This window comes from Homo sapiens, chromosome 8, assembly GCF_000001405.40.
Source record: "Homo sapiens chromosome 8, GRCh38.p14 Primary Assembly".
In the NCBI taxonomy this organism is placed as follows: Eukaryota; Metazoa; Chordata; class Mammalia; order Primates; family Hominidae; genus Homo; species Homo sapiens.
Window position 1 is genome coordinate 135,575,026 of NC_000008.11, and position 19,052 is coordinate 135,594,077.

The window sequence follows — 19,052 nt, forward strand, 5'->3', positions numbered from 1 at the left end:
TGAGGAATTGAATCCTGATCTGATTCCAATGTTTTTGCTCATGACAACTATTTTTACTGTACCAATTGTTATGGTCTAGGATTTTAAAGAAAAAGCCTAATTTACAATAGTCATTAAAGGTTTACCTGAGGGTGAGCTGACGAAAAAGTGTTATTTTTTTCTTTTTACTGCATTAGACATATTATATTAGGATCAGGTTCAACTGCGAATACCAAATATGCACCTGTAGTGGCTTAACCCAGTAGAAATATTACGTCCTTCTCCTGCCCCACTTAAAACCTGTACAGTGGTGCCACACTGTCCTTCCCCAGCTCCATAGAGCTCGTGGCTCACTGTGGCTCCCCACTTAAAACCTGCACAGCGATGCCACACTGTCCTTCCCCAGCTCCACAGAGCTTATGGCTACGCTTTTCTTAGCCTTTCACTTTTTCCCTCAAGCCTGCTGCCCTTACAAACATGTCTGCATCCTATGCAGGAAGAAGAAAAGAGTGAAAGGGAAAAGAGAACGCCAACTATGTAATTTTAAAGAGTTTCCCATAAATCTCAGTCAGTGCTAATTAATATCTTATTGGCCAGAATTGGATCACAGGCCACCATAGCTGCAAGAAAGCTGCAAAATTGAGATTTTTTTTTTTAATGTACTTAGTATTTTAGAACAGTTGTGGCTTTACAGAAAGATTGTGAAAATAGTACAGAGAGTTTTCGTATATCCTGCATGTGGTTTTTCTCTATTATTAACATCTTACATTAGCATGGCTCACTTATTTCAGTTTATGAACCAATATTGACACATTGTTAACTATTATTGACAATACTGGCACAGAATTAACTAAAGTCCATTTCAGGTTTCCTTAGTTTTTACCTAGTGTCCTTTTTCTGTTCCAGAATCCCTGGAATACAACATCACGTTGAGTTGTCCTGTCTCCTTAGGCTGCTCTTGGCTGTGACAGTTTCTTGGACTTGTTTGTTTTGATGATCTTAACAGTTTTGAGGAGTACTAATCAGGTTTTTTTTAAGATGTTTCTCAATTGGGATTTGTCAGATTTGTTTTCATCATTAACCTGGGCTTATGAGTTTGGGGAACCAAAACCACAGAGGTAAAATGCCATGTTTGCCACATCATATCAAGTATACGTACTGTCCACATGACTTATGCTCATGTTACCTTGATAACGTAGCTGAGGTCATGCTTGTCAAGTTTCTCCACTGTCGAATTCCTCATTTTTCTTTCTTTTCTTACTATATCCTTTAAAAGGAAGTCACTATGGGGAACCCCTGATTAAGAAGTGGGGAATTACAGTTCACTTCCCCTAGGTGGAATATCTACAAAAATTATCTGGAAGATTTGTGCCTTCTCCCCTATTTATCTATTGATTGATTGATTCAGTCATTTCTGTCAGTGTGGACTCATGGATATTAATTTTATACATTGTGTTACAATTCAGTACCACTGTCTTTTCTTGCTCAGATTGTCTCAGCTTTGGCCATTGGGAGTTCTTTCAGTTGGCTTTGACACATGCCCATAATTTGAGGGTTTAATTCAAACATAATTTGAGGGTTTTTTTTTTAACACTTTCTTACTTTCTGGCACTACACATTGCTCCAGACTAGTCTTAGATATTTCTACCTCCAGTCCTAAAATCAGTCATTTCTCCAAGAAGCTCAGGTTCCATTTATTGGAGTATGGTATTAGAAACCAAGGTCAGGCTGCTGGCCCGCTTGTTGTTTCTGGGATGTGCTGAAGTCTGCGCTTTCTCAGCTGACATAGAATGGACATATATGTGTATGTACTAACCTATGTATATACACATATTTATGCATATTTAACCATCTGTAAATATATTAAGCTAAACATGAGTTCATAATGATGTCTCTGATTTTAATCTGTTCCCACATTGACCATTATAGCCTCTTCCCTTTGCTTATTACTCCACTCCACCGTGAGAAACTGGCTCCCACCATTCTTTTATTTAATTGTTGAGTTCCAGGATACATGTACAGTGACATCAGAATGGTTAACCTGTACTTACACTTCTTCCTGTAGAAAGTAACTTCATCAACTAGAACAGTGCTTATTTACGGTTTTTTTTTTCCCTTTAGTCTAACAGACTTCTCTCATTTCTAAGTTTACTTTTCTCCAATCCCTTCAATAAAATTGTTTTCATATGCTTTAACCTAGTTAAAATGTTTGTTCACATTCAGCATTGCATCCTGAGAGTCTCCTACTTCCTCAATAATATTGTGGTTTTTAGTGTGCAAACATGAAAATTCACTCTCTGTGCTGTGAGGTTGTTTGGGTTTTGACAAGTGCTTTGTGTCATGTATTCACCGTCATTTTGGTATCATACAGAATAGTTTTATCACCCTAAGCTATAGTTATTCAACCTTCTCTCCACCCCTTAAACTGTGTTAACTACTGATTTTTTTTTTATCATCTCTCTAGTTTTAGTATTTTCAGTATGTCATACAGTTGAAAGCATATAGTATGTAGCCTTTCCAGAGTGGCTTCTTTCACTTAGAAATGTGCATTTAAGATTTATTCCTAGTTTTTGTGGATTGTTAGCTCATTTCTTTCTACTGCTGAATCATTTTCTACTGTATGCATGTAACCCAGTTTGCTTATCTGTTCATCTATCGAAGGGCATCTTGGTTGCTATGAATAAAGCTGCTGTAAACATTTATGTGAAAGTTTTTATGTAGGCATACATTTTCAGAACCATTGGGTAAAAACCTAAGAATACAACTGCTAGATTGTATAATAAGGCTATGTTTAGCTTTGCAAGAAATTGCCAAACTGTCTAAGTGGCTGTATATACTATGTTGCATTCCAGGCAGGAATGAGAGTTTATGTTTTTCATATCCTCACCAACAATTGGTATATTCAGTTATTTATTTTAGTCATTTTAATACGTGAGAAGTGGTATCTCACTTTTGTTGTAGTTTGAATTCCCTAGTGACAAATGATGTTGAACATCTTTATTTGGTTATTTGCCATCTGTAGATCTTCTTTGGTGAGTTGTCTGTTCAAGTATTTTGCCTGCTTTTTAAGTGGGTCATTTGCTTTCTTATTGTTGAGTTATAAAAGTTTTTTCTGTGTTTTGGATACAAATCCTTTATCAGCTAACATGTTTCCCAAATATTTTCTTCCTTTCTGTGGCTTGTCTCTTTATCTCTTAATAGTGTCCTACACAAAGCCGAAGTCTATAATTTTAACAAAGTAGAACTTACCAATTTTTCTTTCAAGGACTTTTTTGATATTGTATCTAAAAACTCATCACCAAACTAATATAATACAGATTTTCTTCTGTGCTTTCTTCTCTAAGTTTTATGTTTCATATTTGGTTTTAAGATACATTTTGAGTTGATTTTTGTGAAATATGTCTGTGTCTAGGTGTCTACTTTTTTTTTTAGCTTATTGATATTCACTTGTTCCTATACCATTTGTTGAAAAAAAACATTATTTTCCATTGAATTGTCTTTGCTCCTTTGTCAGTAATCAGTTGACTGTATTTCTGAGGGTCAGTTTCTGGGCTCTGTATTTTGTTCCATTGATCTGTCTTTTCTTTCGCAAATACCGCGCTGTCTTGATTGTAGCTTTATAATAAGTCTTGAAATTATATATTATGAGTCTTCTAACATTGTTTTTCTTGTCAGTATTGTGTTGTCTGTTCTGGGTCTTTTGCCTTTCCATGTGTACTTTAGAAAATGTTTGTCAATGTCTAAAAATATATCACTTGCTGAGATTTTGATTAGGATTGCATTGAATCTGTAGATTAGTTGGGAAGAACTGGAGTCTTAACAATGTTATGACCATGAACGTGGATGTTACTCCTTTGAGTTCTTCCATCAGAGTTTTGTAGTTTTCTACATAGGAATACTGTACATATTTTGTTAAATTTGTACCAAAACATGCAATTTTTTTTTGGCTTCAGTAAATGTTTTTTGTTCTTAAAATTCCAATTATTTATTGCTGGTATGTAGGAAAGCATTTGACTGGTAACCTTTTATTACCTTGTTTTACTAGCTTATTAGCTATAGGAGTATGTGTAGGGTTTGAGGGGTTTTGGGGACTATTTTTGGGGATTTTTTTACATTGCCAGTGATGTCACCTGTGAACAAAGGAAGTTTTACTTTTTTCTTCAAAATCTGTATGAGTTTTATTTACTTTTCTTGTCCTATTGAAGTAGGTGGGACTTCTAGCATAGTGTTGAATAGTAGTTGTGAGAGTAGACATCCTTGCCTTGTTCCCAATCTTAAGGGGAAAGCATTCAGTTGCTCACAATTCAATATGTTGCAGGTTTGCTGTACATGTTCTTTCTTTTCTTGAGACAGAGTCTCGCTCTGTCACCCAGGCTGGAGTGCATCTAGGTGGCACCATCTAGGCTCACTGCAACCTCTGCCTCCCAGGTTCAAGTAATTCTCATGCCTCAGCCTGAGTAGCTGGCATTACAGGCGTGTATCACCACGCCTGGCTAATTTTTGTCTTTTTTCAGTAGAGACGGGGTTTCACCATGTTGGCCATGCTGGTTTCGAACTCCTGATCTCAAGTGATCCACCCATGTTGGCCTCACAAAGTTCTGGGATTACAGGTGTGAGCCACCATTCCTGCCCGATGTTCTTTTTCAACTTGAGGAAATTTACTGAAAGTTGTTATGAATGAATGTCGCCATTGGCCGCATGCTTTTTCTGCTCTATTTATATGATCACATGATTTTCCTACTTTGGCCTTGTTGATGTGGTGGGTTACATTGATTTTCTAATATTAAATCAACCTTATGTACCTGGAATAAATCCTACTTGGTTATGGTGTATAATTCTTTTAGCACATTATGGAATGGAGTTTGCTAATAGTTTTGAGGATTTTTGTACCTGTGTTCATGAGAGATGCTGATTTCTAGTTCTTCACTTTAGACTGTCTTTATCCACATTGGTTATGAGGAGGCCTTGTTCTTGTTCCCCCTCAGACCACATCTCATTCTAAGGAGGTCACAGAGCATTTGGGCTGGTCACAAATCTGGCACCTGTTAATGCTTTTCCTCCCCATCTCTGGCCAGTTGTAGCCTCTGAGGGTGATTTAGTATTTTGAGAGATACTTCCTTTGTCAGGTCCCAACCAGTGCTCAAGAATAGGCTGGGGACAGTCACCTCTGGCCTCCCTGGCTGGCCCAGACTGGTCCCAGCCTCTGATGAGTAATGTAGAAATACTTTGAACGAGGCACTTCCAATGACCAGCCCCACAGATTGGGTTAGGAAGTGTTCCCTCTGCTTTTATTTTTTGGACAAGATTATAGAGAACTGGTATCATTTCATTCTTTAATATTTGACAAAATTCATTGAAACCATATGGAGTTGATGCTTTCTTTTTTGGAAGATCATTAACTATTGATTAAATTTATTTAATAGACATAAGCCCATTCAGATTATTTAATTCTCTTTGTGTTGGTCATTATGAATCAGAATCAGTCACATTCATGTAAGTTAAAAAATGTGTGAGCTTGGAGTTGTTCATAGTATTTCTTCATTATTCTTAAATGTCCTTGAGGTCAAAAATAATGAAATCCTCTTCCTCTCTCTCTCTCTCTTTTTTTTTTTTTTTTTTAATTTTTCTGAGACAGAGTCACTCTGTCACCCAGGCTGGAGTGCAGTGGTGTGATCCTGGCTCACTGCAACCTCAGCCTCTTGGGTTCAAGTGATTGTTGTTGCTCAGCCTCCCAAGTAGCTGGGACTATAGGCACACACCACCGTGCCCAGCTAATTTTTGTATTTTTAGTAGAGATGGAGTTTTGCCATGTTGACCAGGCTGGTCTTGAACTCTTGGCCTCAGGTGATCCACCTGCCTTGGCCTCCCAAAGTGCTGGGATTACAGGCCTGAGCCGTCACACCCGGCCAAAACCCTCTTCATTTCTGATATTGGTGTTTGGGCTTTTTTTTTCTCTTTAGCCTGTCTAGAGGTTTATCAATTTCATCAGTCTTTTCAAAGTCCAGCTTTGGGTTTTGATAATTTGCTATTTTTGGAAAATGAGTCTTTAGCTGCGTATTTGCTATCCCAGACACACTGAAGAAGGAGGAAGCTGATCTGTAGGCAGCCAGCCTGCCAGCTGCAGTTCTTCCTGGAGGGCCTTATCCAGATGAGGTCATCATGCTGTGTCTGTATTCTCTGGGGTAGCCACACTTTTCTGTCCTTATGTTTTCTCAGGTTTTTGCTTCTGTGGAGCCATTCTTGATAGAGCCATCTCCTTCCTTCCTGACTTGAAGTCTTATGATTTACATTAGAAATACATGAATATGTTGAATTCTACCTCAGAAAATGCCTGTGTTTACTTAACCTAAGAATGTTGTTTTATTACCATGTGGTTGACACATTATTCAGGAAAGTATATTTTATTGTCTCTCTGGTGGAATTTTGGCATATATTTTGGCCTCTGGCTTTGCTCACAGCTGTTCTGAGACAGTTTTAAAATCTCTCTGAGCCTCAGTTTCCTTGTCCTGAGATAAGCAAGAAAAGGCACACCTCATAGTGTGGGAGTGAAGTTTGGGTGTAATCCTGGCATGGCATTATATAGAAGTCTTGGGTGCATGTGGCTTCTCCAAATATCACAGTTTCCTACTCTGTGTATTGACCAGAGATTAACTCCAGACTTCTATATTGTTGCTAGACGAACTGCCTAAATGCCTTAATTTCCTTTTGACAGACACCTGTTTCATGTTTGCTTTAGTTCTTTGCTTGTGACTTCCTTCTTCCTTTTTACAAAAATATAGAACATTGATTTTGTTTCTGAGGTATAAATATATGTGAATAACAGAATGTTAGAGACTATGATAGATACTGCTAATTTGACTCTCTTGGTTACAGGGGAAGGGGAGGAGTTACAGCCCGGCCAGTTGGAGTTGTAGTACCACGAGGGACGCCAACTCCCAGAGGAGTCCTGTCCACCCGAGGGCCAGTGAGTCGGGGAAGAGGACTTCTCACTCCCAGAGCAAGAGGAGTCCCCCCAACTGGGTACAGACCTCCACCGCCACCCCCGACACAAGAGACTTATGGAGAATATGTAAGTGAAGGTGTCAGACAACAGCCTTGTTCATCAGATTGACTTAATCCAGACTTAGCACTGGATATTGTACCCGCGTACGCTTCCTCACCTTGTTTTGGTTCTTGAGTATTCTACTTTGTTTCAGCAAATATTTATTGAGTGCTAAAGAAGTACTTAATACTAGAGGTATAAAAATGGCCTGATCTTTTTCATCAAATAGTTTAAATCTAAGGTATGGAAGAGGAGTTTGGGTGGTGGGGAGGTGTAAGACTAAGGTTCAGGAGACATATTTTCAAGCCCTTACAGGAATTTAATGTAACATTCTTGCATATTTCACTCCTGAATACTTCAGTCATTTAAAAAATAATTGCCTGCGTATACCAAGATGGTTTCCGCCTTAACTGTTTCCTTTTAAGCTACTCTGCTGAGTATGGATTCTTAGTGGAAATTCTTTTCAGTAAAGAAAACAAAAGTTCTCTATTTTCAATTAGTGCAAATCAGTTTTTCATTTATCATTCAGCGATTCTTTGATATAATTCATAGACTGACTTAACGTAAGAGAGAATAATAACCGTGAAAGTTGAGGGGGAAGGGAATTCTTTGATGTCCTCATTTACCATAAATGAAGAAAATAAGAAGCAATGGATAGGTGATTCATATTAATAATTGAAATTGTTAAAGTAAGTGTATGTGAACCATTGTCAATGAAAGGGAAGCAGTAACAATGATAAAATGCAAGTATCAGTAGGTTTTCATTGTTTTACTTTAGGAGAGATCTCTTGCTAGGTGCTCTGTGCCTCTTTGCATAGTTTCTAGAAGGTTGCAATAATCCCCTGGGCCTCAGACAACCTCTTCAACCTCATCTGTGTGGCCACTGGTAAGATCAAAGTCTTTGTCTTGGACATATTTAAGTTTTTGTAATTCCCTGAACATTCTGTGTCATCTTAGTCTTCCAGACCTTTGCTTATACTGCCTCCTCAGCCTAGAATGGTGTTCTTATGTTTCATTTGACTGTCTCCTTGTGTCCTTCTACACGTAGGTCAATCATTGCTAGGGAAATTTAGAGGTGGTAATAGCTAACCTGTTGAGCATTACTACAGTTCTTACATTTCTCTCTCCCACCTAGCTTGTGAACCTCTGGAAGGGCAGGAATGGATAGCTTTTATCTCTTTATACTTGGGAGAGAGTGCATACTGGGAGCCCACTGAATTATATTTTAACAAATCCCGTAATAGTTTTACAAGTTTGTTATTCAGCTGAGGAAGGATGTGTTTCCTCTCTTTGAATTCGTTACAGTTAAATGTGTTCCTACTTCCTAATAATCTTACCAGATGACAATAATAATTATGCCTCAGCTCTTCCATAAATGCTGAGTCTCCTGAAAGTATCAGGGACTCTAAAGGAGAGTAAATCTTAAATTCCTTTTAGGTAGGCCCAGTGTCTGTTCATTTCCACTTTGGCTTACATTGATTTCTTAGGTTTAGATTTAATACAGATGTGGTTGGATGATGTAGTAGAAATTGCCAGGCAGGTTGTGTGGGAAACCTGGATCCTATACCCCATTTTACCATAAATTTTAATATCGGGCAAGATATTTAACTTTTTGGGCTTCATAATCCACTTATTTCAGAAAGAACTATTGCCTTCATTACATGTATTCATCTTTCCATTCAATAAAGATTGGATTTCTACCGTGTGAGCCAGACACACATGTTGTCTGTCTCAGCATGTATACTCTAATTATTAGAGTCTGGAAATAAATTATATAGATTAATAAAACTGAAAAATTCTTGAAAGGTTAAAGTCCAAAGGAGGAAAAGCAAAAGCAAGAGACATTCAAGACATTTGGGTTTGCTGCTTGTACTTTTGATTGTTTTATTTATTTTTTATTTTTGTAAATGATAGGAAAGGCATTAAAACAATTGAATTGAGAAGTATTCTGTAGGATTAATTTACTCCCTTTTCCATCTGCTACCAAAGATAATGGGATAATGGCCCTGTAGAAGATTACCTGCGTTTTTCCAGAACCAGACAAAGGTTTAAGAGCTCTAAAGGAAAAAGTCAACCTTCATTGTTTGATTCCCACACTCACTCATGCCTGGCACTCTTCCAGGCACTGACTGTTACTGCAGCTGTGATTTCAACACAGAGCCAGTGCTCTTTCTGTCACATGGTAGCGTTGCCTTCAAATAACTGACGGTCATATCCGCCAGTGTTGTAATTTGGCTGGAATGCAGTATTTGCAATTTTATCAGCTTCATACAATTACAAGTCTTGCATACATAAAACAGCTGTGTGCTTTCCAGGTGTGCTTTGGGTGGTATAGTGGGACACCAAAGGAAAAGAAATACCATCATGAGTGCACCTCCTTCCCCGAGTTGAATTATCATCATGAAGGGTTCAGATTACAAACGTTATAGCTTTCCCACTTAATTTAGCATCTATTATTCCTGGCAGTGCCTTTTAAGATTACTAGTCAAGAGAAAAGATTTTCCTCATTTAGCTTAGCATTTTGTGAGCTGCCTTGGCACAGTTATAGTAAAAGCTTCAGTGGCTTTTTCAGTATAGTAAAAGCTTCACTGTATATAACAAACTTTGCTGGTACTTGGTATAAGGAGTAGATAAAGCCCTTCAGCTTGCTTACAGTGGCTTGCCATCAGTAGCACTGCCTTGCAGATACCCGTTTGACCTCATCTTCCTCCACTGACCCAGTTTTCTACTTCCAACTTTTCTAATACAGCTTGCAACCTCTGGCATAACTTCAGACCTTGGCCATTGGTCTCAACTGTTTGAAAACCTAAAGATTACTCACCCATCACGCTTAGTTTTGCAGCATGGTAGGGGGAATGGGAAGTAAATTCTTCTTAAAAAATTTTTTTATGTTGGGCTCGGCACGATGCTCACGCTTGTAATCCTAGCATTTTCAGAGGCCAAGGTGGGCACATCACTTGAGGTCAGGAGTTCAAGACCAGCCTGGCCAACATGGTGAAACCTCATCTCTACCAAAAAAAAAAAATACAAAAATTAGCCGGGTGTAGTGGTGCGCACCTGTAAACCCACCTACTTAGGAGGCTGAGGTGGGAGAATTGCTTGAACCCGGCAGGTGGAGGTTGCAGTGAGCTGTGATCGCCCCACTGCACCCCAGCCTGGGTGACAGAGCGAGACTCCGTCTCAAAAAAAAAAAAAAAAAAAGAAAAATCGTTTCTTTGTTTCTTGGATTTTAGATAGGGTGGGTGTATTATAAGATACCCAACTTAGAAAACCAAGGAGCTTGTAACACAAATAAATGGTTATTCATTCATGCATCAAATGGGAAAGTTGGCCATCTTTGAATATACTAAAATTATTACATGGAACTAGAACATCTTAAATTAGATTCTAAATTCCATGAGGGTAGGCACTCTCCCCCTGCCTCCCCTTCCTCCCACCCACCACACTTCACCTTTTTATTCCCAATAACTAGTATATAATGTCTGGCACATAGTAGGTCTTTAGTAAATATTTACTGAATGAATGAATGAATGGTCACAAGATGGTTTTTAAAAATTGTCTCCTGCAGAGAACCCACCACAGATGCCTTCTGTGTGATTTTTCAGTTTTATTCACATAGCAATTTTTATGTAACATAGTATTTAGTATATAGCTATGTAGAACAATCATAATATGTCCAGTTTTCAAAAGATTATTAACTTCTAAGGAAAAATTCTTTATCTCTAGGTTAATCTCTGGCTACTAGCTCAGTTTTTGGCACATTGTAAGCACTTAGTAAATGTTCGTTGGACTGAACCAACCCTATACAGAGACTTGATAACATTGTTCAGATGAAGATTACCATTGATTTTTTCTAAGTTCCTGGTAAAAGCATGTGATGGGAAGAAATATGATAGTATTTGAGAAAATAACTTTCCTAAGTTACTGTTGTCTTCTAGCACTGGACGGGTAGTCACAGGTTACAAATGAATAAGATTAATTTTGTTAGCTCCTGAAGGAAACAGAAAAACCTACTGTAAATCTCATCTCAGTATAAAAAGGGGCTTTAAAGAAGGATGTAATATTTGATGAGAAACTGCTCTCCACAAGGCACTTTGATATATGTCACGTTTTCCTTATAACCACCTACTATGATCTCTACTGTACAAATGAGAATTTAAGGTCAGGGAAGTTAAGTGCCTTGCCCAAAGTCACAGGACTGGTAAAGAAGGAGCAGATTCAGGATTCAAAGTTCAAGGCCTATGTTCTGTCTTGAAAAACCAGTGCTTTAAAAAACAAAACCAAAAAAAAAAACAGTGTTCCACTAGCCGAGGTTATAAATAAAATCTCTTCATCTTTGGAGAAAGTGTAACAGATGCTGCATGTTCCCTTCATCAGAAATGCCATAAAAGGGATTATAGGACACTGAATTAAATAACCTCTGTGTTCCTTGCAATTCACTAATTCCCTGGTTTTAAGCTACCCGAAGTAGGTAAATGGAAATGAACTGTTAGGAAGAAAGGGATGATGTTCGGATTAAAAAAATGAACAAAGCGCTACTAATACATTTATTGGCAAAAATAAGAATAACACTTTCATTTAAGAATTTCTCAACATCTGTACCTCTGAAAAGGGCTTGTCATTTCTTTGGAACTCAGAAACGTAATTTTTAAAAATCTCCTTGGAATATATCCAGTGATAAAGGTTTGATTTCTATACAATGTGTTTGGCTATATCAAACCAACTCAGTTTACTTTTCATCAACTTTCATTTAAAATTTACTATCTGAGGCCATTATTTCCAGAATAAAAGATGAAAAAAGATCACATCAGTGGTTTACTTAAACAAAATGAGGAAAATTCTATTTTTTAAAATCCTGCCACAATAGCTGCATTTTTCAGAAAGTATGCATTTCAATCTTTAAAGATACTCAGTGATTTTCAGATTATGTGTACTGCAAGTATTCTGATATAGTTTTAGGCCCAAGAAAAATTTAGTCAACGGTATCTGTTCTAGTTCTTTTTAAATACTTATATTATGCCCATTTTAGAAAACGTACTGTTAGCCAAAGTGAGAAAACTTGACAATTCTCAGGTATTTCCTTGTAAAATGTGCCTATTGAAATTCGTCTGATATTTCTCAAGGTGAGTTGGTGAAGATATTGGATCATTTATACTGTCATCTGAGCCAACTGTTCTTCATCGGAGTTACTGTAACAAAATATTCCCTGAGTGTGTATCATTGAGATGAACATCTGTTAGCAAATACATCTATTTGACTTTGTGATTATTATTACGGGAGTACGTATGACACAGCCATTTGAGTAGGATAGTCTAGCCATTGGTAACACCAAATCCATCTCTCAGTAATTCTCCTTTTCAGAATAACTCTCAAACAAGATAATTTAATGTGGTTAGCTTTTTTCCAAAATGAAGAAAACAGATAGTGGATGTTTTTTCAGTTATTTAAGTATAAATTTGGGACCTTCCGCTCTACTTTTAACTTAGTAAAATTAGATATAATTACAGTAACTCCTCATCTCTTTTTGGAGAACAAGAAGTGCCTTTTTTCCAAAATGACATTGATTTATTATTTATGTCCAAATAATTAAATAACTGACAAATTAATTAGGATAACCCAGTACACATTCAATGAGAGCACTTTAATAATTTAAAATGCTGGTGTAATTACACAGGAAAGCATGCCTGATGTGTCCTGGCGAGCCCAATTTATGAATTTCTAAAGTGAAACCATTTTTTATAAATTGTTTTAGGGTCAACATGCAAAGAAAACACACAATCTGAATAAATCAGCATCCCCCCTAACACTCAGTATGGTAGTTTTATCTATTATCTCTGTAAGATCTTTTTCATTTCCATTACTTCACCTAAACACTTGCATGTTATTAGCTACTGAAAGGAAAACTGTTTCCTCTTTACTGCTGCTCTCAATACGTCACTTTTGCACTGTATGTATAGGTTGTGTTCGTTCTCTGCAGACATCGACTGTGTGTCCTGCAGTTTAATTCTGACGCCATTTACCAGGAGTTAGCACAGACCCTACAGTTAAAGGCTTAGTCCCACTTGAGGTGCCAGTTGCAACTGGTGGGCCCCCAGGTTACCCACAACTTGTGTCAGACTTGGATGGAAATTGGAAATTCCCACAACCCCTTTCTTATGTTTGATAATTTGTTAGAACGGCTCAGAACTCAGGAAAGTAGTGTACTTACTACTGCTAATTTGTTATGAAAGGATACAGGTCAGGATCAGTCAGATGGAAGAGACACATAGGGCAAGGTGTTGGGGAGGGCATTCCACACCCTCTCCAGGCAGCCACCCTCGCGCGGCACCTCTGTGTCCTCACCCAGCCTGCAGGCGCTCCAAACCCCTTCAGCTGGAGTTTTTAATGGAGGCATCACTACATAGACGTACTTGATTAAATAATTGGCCATTAGCGATTGACTCAATCTCCAGCCCCCTCCCCTCCTTGGAGGTCAAAGGTGGGACAGCAAGTTTCAACCCTTTAATCACAGGGATGGTTCCCTTGACAGCCAGCCACCTCTCCTCTTTCCTTAGGGGCTTTCTGGAAGTCATCTTATTGATGTAAACTCTTCTGTGATGGAAAGGGGCTTTATGAATAACAAAACGCCCTCCTTTCACTTTTATTGCTCTTATCACTTAGAGAATTCCAGGGGTTTTAGGAGCTGTGAGCCAGGAGCTGTGGAAGACAATCAAGCTATACATTTCTTACTATATCATAGTATCAAAACTACCAAATCTAAATTTCTAACTCTGGTGTCATCTGTTCACGGTCCCCTCTCCCTGAATGCCCTATAAGCACTTTGAAAGCTGTGATATAGACCAACACAAAGGGCCTCATTCTTCCCCAGAGTTTCTTGTTAAGATGAATGGCACTACCATATAACCAGACTCCCAAGTTCTAATTCTTTCATCTTCCTTCTCTGTATTCAAATAGCTACCAAGTCTTTTCACTTGTTCCTCATGAATAGCTGTTTGATTTCAAGCTCATCTACATTGCCGTTGGTTTTGTTATGATGCTATTTTTGTGCACTATTTTATTCCCAGCACCTAACATATAGTAGTCACTTAATAAATACTGGTAGTTTGGATGGATGGATGCACAACAGACAGAGGTTGCCATAGCCTCCTCAGTTGCACCTTTGCTTGTAGTCTTGCTCCAGCTCGTTCCTTTCCTTAAATAATGTATTCTTCATACTACTTCCAGTGTACTTTCTAATATCTAACATCGGATATGCTACTGCCCTCCACCTCCCCCCATAAGGAAGAGAGCTAGTTGAAAATTCTAGAAGGATCTTAGTCTCTTCAGGATAAAGTTGAGACTCCTCTGCATTGTGTTTAAGGGCCTTCCTGAGACCTTTCATCCTCCTGTTGACTAACCCGACTGTCATTTTGCATTCAGTCTATCCCAATTGCCGTCCCTTAAACATAGCAGGAACTGTAAACTGTTTTCCCGAGCTCTTGGCTCCCTTTGAATGTGCTTTCTTATTTTGTCCATGCCAACTCTGTTTACTATTTATAGCTTTAGATCATGGAGCCTTCTGGACCTAATCAAGCATAGTTAGCAGCATCTTCCATGTCCCTTTAACAAATTATACCCACCTCTATGTTTACTTACTTGTCCTTGTCCTCAGTAGACTGCGGGATCCTTTAGGGAATGAACTATGTCTTTGTTTTATCGTAGTATACCCAGTCTCACAGAACCTGACATTTTGGAGATACTAAGTAAATATGCGGAGGATGGACAACATGACCTTTGTCAACGCCAACTAATTCTGTGTCGTGCCATGTGTTATGTATACTTTTCAGCACACTTAGTGCAATAAAATTGAGTATCTTAAACAAGTTTTAGCAAACATAACATGGTCCACTTAGTGAACTAATAAGTATGAAAGACAATGCAATTTAATATAAAGATTATTATTCTGAGAGGCAAAATACAGTCAAGTATCCCTTAACAAAGGAGATACATCCTGAGAAATGCATCATTAGGCGATTTCATCATTGTGTGAACACCATAGAGTGTTCTTAGACAAACTTAGATGGTAGAGCCCACTACCGCCTAGGCTATATGCTTTTAGGTAACAAACCTGTACAGCATGTTACTGTACTGAATACTGTAGACAGTTGTAACACAATGGGGCATCTGTGTCTGTAAACGTGTCTAAACATAGAAAAGATACAGTAAAAATGTGGTATTAAAATCTTACGGCTCCACTGTCCTATATGTGGTCCATAGTGACCAAAATGTCATTATGTGGTATGTGGCTGTACTTGGTTTCTAACCTCCTTTCTCTTCAGAGTGACCATCTGTTGTGTTTTTATGCAGACTATTTAACCTTTCTGGGCCCGAATTTTCTTTTAACCTGCAAAATAGTGGTGATGATACATAGGTAGCAGGTTAGTCTAAATGACGTTCTTAACCTCTTTCCAACTTAAAAAGTCTGCAGCGGTTTGAGTATGTTTGTCAAAATTTGGTTTCCACTCTCACCCTAAAGATGGTTTTTGAAATAAAAAATTGTGTTTTCATCAAATAGAAACCTTTAATTGAAAAGTAAGTTACAGAATAAACAAATACATGTTTTAATGATGGTAGAAACAAGCTAAAAATGAGTAGTTGTGAGCCTTTTGAATTCTAAAACATCTTGAAAAATGTTTTACAAAATGAGATTTAAAAAATACAGACTTGCCATCCCTTAAGATGTGTAAACTAAAATTGCCTTAGGGATTCTAATCATACTATTCTCTAAATCATTTAATTATGATTGCATCAGCTCTCTATTCATAGGAAGTACTTATTCACTAATATCTCTTGATATCTCAATGTTGTGTAATCAATTCTAAGCATTTGAGGCTGAGCTGATGGCTTAATCACCTTTAAAGGTAAGTATGGTAGGGCATTTTAAATGTAGTCATACAAGCTCATAAGAATACAAAAACTCCTTTCTTCAGCAGATATTTTTTATTCTTTGATTATCTAACTATAAGATGTTTGTTGAACAGAGTGTGGAATCATCCTTAAATCATCTCCTGAGGCTTGGTAGTGCCTACTTAAGAGAGGCACTAGGTACCTTTTCAAAGTCACACAGTCTATTAGGGTAGAGCTAGAATTTAAAGCCCAGCGTTCTGGCTCTAGAGCCCATGCTCCAGCACCCTGTCAATGTATTCTAATGGAGAAGCTAACAAATAAATGGGAAAAAATATTTAATCTCTTTGGACATAAAAGTTATTATACAGAATTTTGAGCAAGTGATACTAAGGAATAATTGGTTTTACCAATCCTTCTGCAACTACTGCAGGATGTCTTATTTCCTCATAGGACAGCTACCTTTGGTTAACTTAATCCAGGTTTAAAGAGTCAAAGAGATAGTTTTGAATAGGAGCAGAAATATAAACCTCCTGTTGTACGAGCAGGCCTCCCTTGTCTGTGTGTTCTCCAGCTTCATGACTCACTAAGGCTGTGTAAGATGAAAGTTGTCTTGAAGAAAACACTGTTGCTACCATAAATGGTGCCCTCATCTGTACATGGGAATAGAGGGACCACTGTTTTCTCTTTGTGATAAGAATAAACTCTTCTGAAATTTTGATGACTAGGAACATCAATGAAGGCCTTTAAGGGAAACGAAATGTATTTTTTAGTATACATGTTGTTATTTAATGTGGATTTTATTTAAGGACTCAGTGAAGTCATCCTTCTCACTTTTTTGAGAAAGCTAGAGCTCACCTGAAGCTTTAATTGTGACTAGTTTGGGGATTTTTATAGAGACGGGAGTTGTACTGACGGCAAATTTCCCCAATGCAGTGACTACTCACATAATTTTTGACAGTTAACTAATCTCAAAACTGCTTCAATTATCTTGTTTTCCATAGTGAGAAATTTAATTAAAACAGAGTACAGATTGTGAAAAGGTTATTTATGAAAATGCATTTTAAATGTGAATTGAAAAGCCTAGGGACACCTTTTTATTTTAGATAAAAAGATGAAGGTTCTATAATTTTTCATATTCATTTTACCAGAAGCCAGGGTAAGAGCAGTAGGCAATTTATTTGAAATGTCTTATCAGGAGCTTCACAAATCAATCTTTTGCCTAAATTGCTTGAAAGGTTGACTTATTTTAGGAATGTAAGACTTTAGGAAATAAGTTCAGATTTAAAATATATGAGTATGGAAGTTTTTTTTTTGGTTTTTGGTTTTTTTTCTTCCTACGTTAAAACAACAACAAAACACCTTATCAAGGAAGTGGAAAGCTCTAAAATGAAAATGTCATTAAGGCATGGAAAGCAAGTTGTGCTGTCATAATTAGGCTTGCCCGTCCAAGTTAGTTGAGCTATAATGGTTTTATGTGAGCTGATGTGACAGATGTAACATATCCCTCAGGTGATTTAGGGCTGAGGCAGGGAAAGGAACTTGTGAACCACTGGATTATTCCTTTGTTATAATGGACTATCTGCAAGAACCTGCCATGTTTGTTTTACAGTTTTCAACCAGCATTCATAGAACACGGTCTCTGCCTTTAAGTAGATAAGAGTCTAAGAAGGAACATAATGTTGGGGAGGAAAAGTAATTTTCTGTCTACCCTCTGAGTTCTTAGCTGGAATGTACCCAAAGGAAAAAAGTTTTTTGACATGCATATTTTATATATATGGGAGAGATACCCAGGGAATTAGTAAATCTCAAAGAGGGGGCTTCGAACTCTGGTTATATAGCATCTTCCATAAGGAACAGTAAATTTTTGCAGAAATGACTAGATAGTCTCTAGGGAGAGCAAATTCTGGAAAGGCAAATAAATGGAAGTTTGTTATGTAGATTCCTCTGTTGCCATCTCAGGCTAATAAGGGTCCAAAGTTATCTTGGTGGGCCTCGGTGTCTCACTCCTGTAATCCCAGCACTTTGGGAGGCCGGAGTTGGAGGTTTGCTTGAGGCCAGGAGTTCAAGACCAGGCTGGGCAGCATATTGAGACCCCGTCTCTGCAAAATTAAAATAAATTTAAGAAAATAAACTTGTGTTCAGTGATCAACCTTGGTCCCTCCTGGTAGATAGGGGAGGAGGGAAACCTTTGCCTTTATAAATTTATGTCTTGCTTTGATGCAGATATAAGAGGGCAGAGAGGGCAGAGAGCTTTTTAAATCTGCTGATTCTCAATTAGCTTCAGCTCAAAATAATCTTTATGCTAAAGTGGCATATTTTGGGTTGGCATGCCTGATCTCCTGGAGTAGTTGTCACCCCCACTTTGAATTCTTTCATATTTACTTGTTTATTTTAGGTGGTCAATCTGTTATTTGGATCCACAAGTATACATCTTATTTAAGGTACTTATCTTAGAGTAATGTAAGTACTTTTATTTTTCTTATTACTCTCCATTATACTTTAAGTTGTTAGTGGTAGGTAGGAGCTATGTCTTTTGATCTACAGGACCCAGTATATTTTGGTTGAGACAGGGTCTTGTTCTGTCACCCAGGCTGGAGTGCAGTGGTACAGTTAGAACTCACTGCAGTCTCAACATCCTGGACTCAAGCGATCCTCCTGCCTCACCATTCTGAGTAGCTGGCACCACATGTGTGTGCCACTTTGCCCGGCTAATTTTTTTATTTTTTATAGAGACAGGGTCTCACTTTGTTACCCAGAATGGTCTCAGACTCCTGGCCTCAAGCAACCCTCCTGCCTCGGCTTCCACAAGTGCTGGGATTACAGGTGTGAGCCACTGTGCCCAGCCTGGATTTCCTGATGCAGAGACGAAACACAGTTAACCTTGAGAATTAGAACACCTATAATTGACTTATGTACAAAGAATAGGGAGGAACAAACAGGAAAGTACAACTGCTTGATGGAATGTGGTAAGACTTTAGAGGAGACAACATTTAAACCAAACAGGAAGGGAATGAGTAGCACTCAGGTAGGAGGAACCAAGAGGACTCTGCGCAGACTCGATGTGATATTTAAAGGCATGGACACAGGGAGGATCTTAGTGTGCTGCAGTCAGCCAGAAGAATTTTGGTGATGTCCATTATTGATG

At 38.0% G+C, this 19,052-nt stretch overlaps 1 protein-coding gene across 14 annotated transcripts in view; it reads left to right on the top strand.

The window, feature by feature from the left end:
- The window catches only part of KHDRBS3 (KH RNA binding domain containing, signal transduction associated 3), a 199,061-nt gene that overhangs the window by 117,570 nt on the left and 62,439 nt on the right, over positions 1-19,052 (top strand). For all 14 annotated transcript variants that reach the window (XR_242372.3, XR_001745458.2, XR_928287.2 and 11 more), the window contains one exon: positions 6,853-7,048. Coding sequence is in view for 8 of the 14 variants with exons in the window: in XM_047421269.1 (XP_047277225.1) it covers positions 6,853-7,048 (196 nt within the window). In the remaining 6 variants the exon portion in view is untranslated. The remainder of the gene's footprint in view (positions 1-6,852; positions 7,049-19,052) is intronic.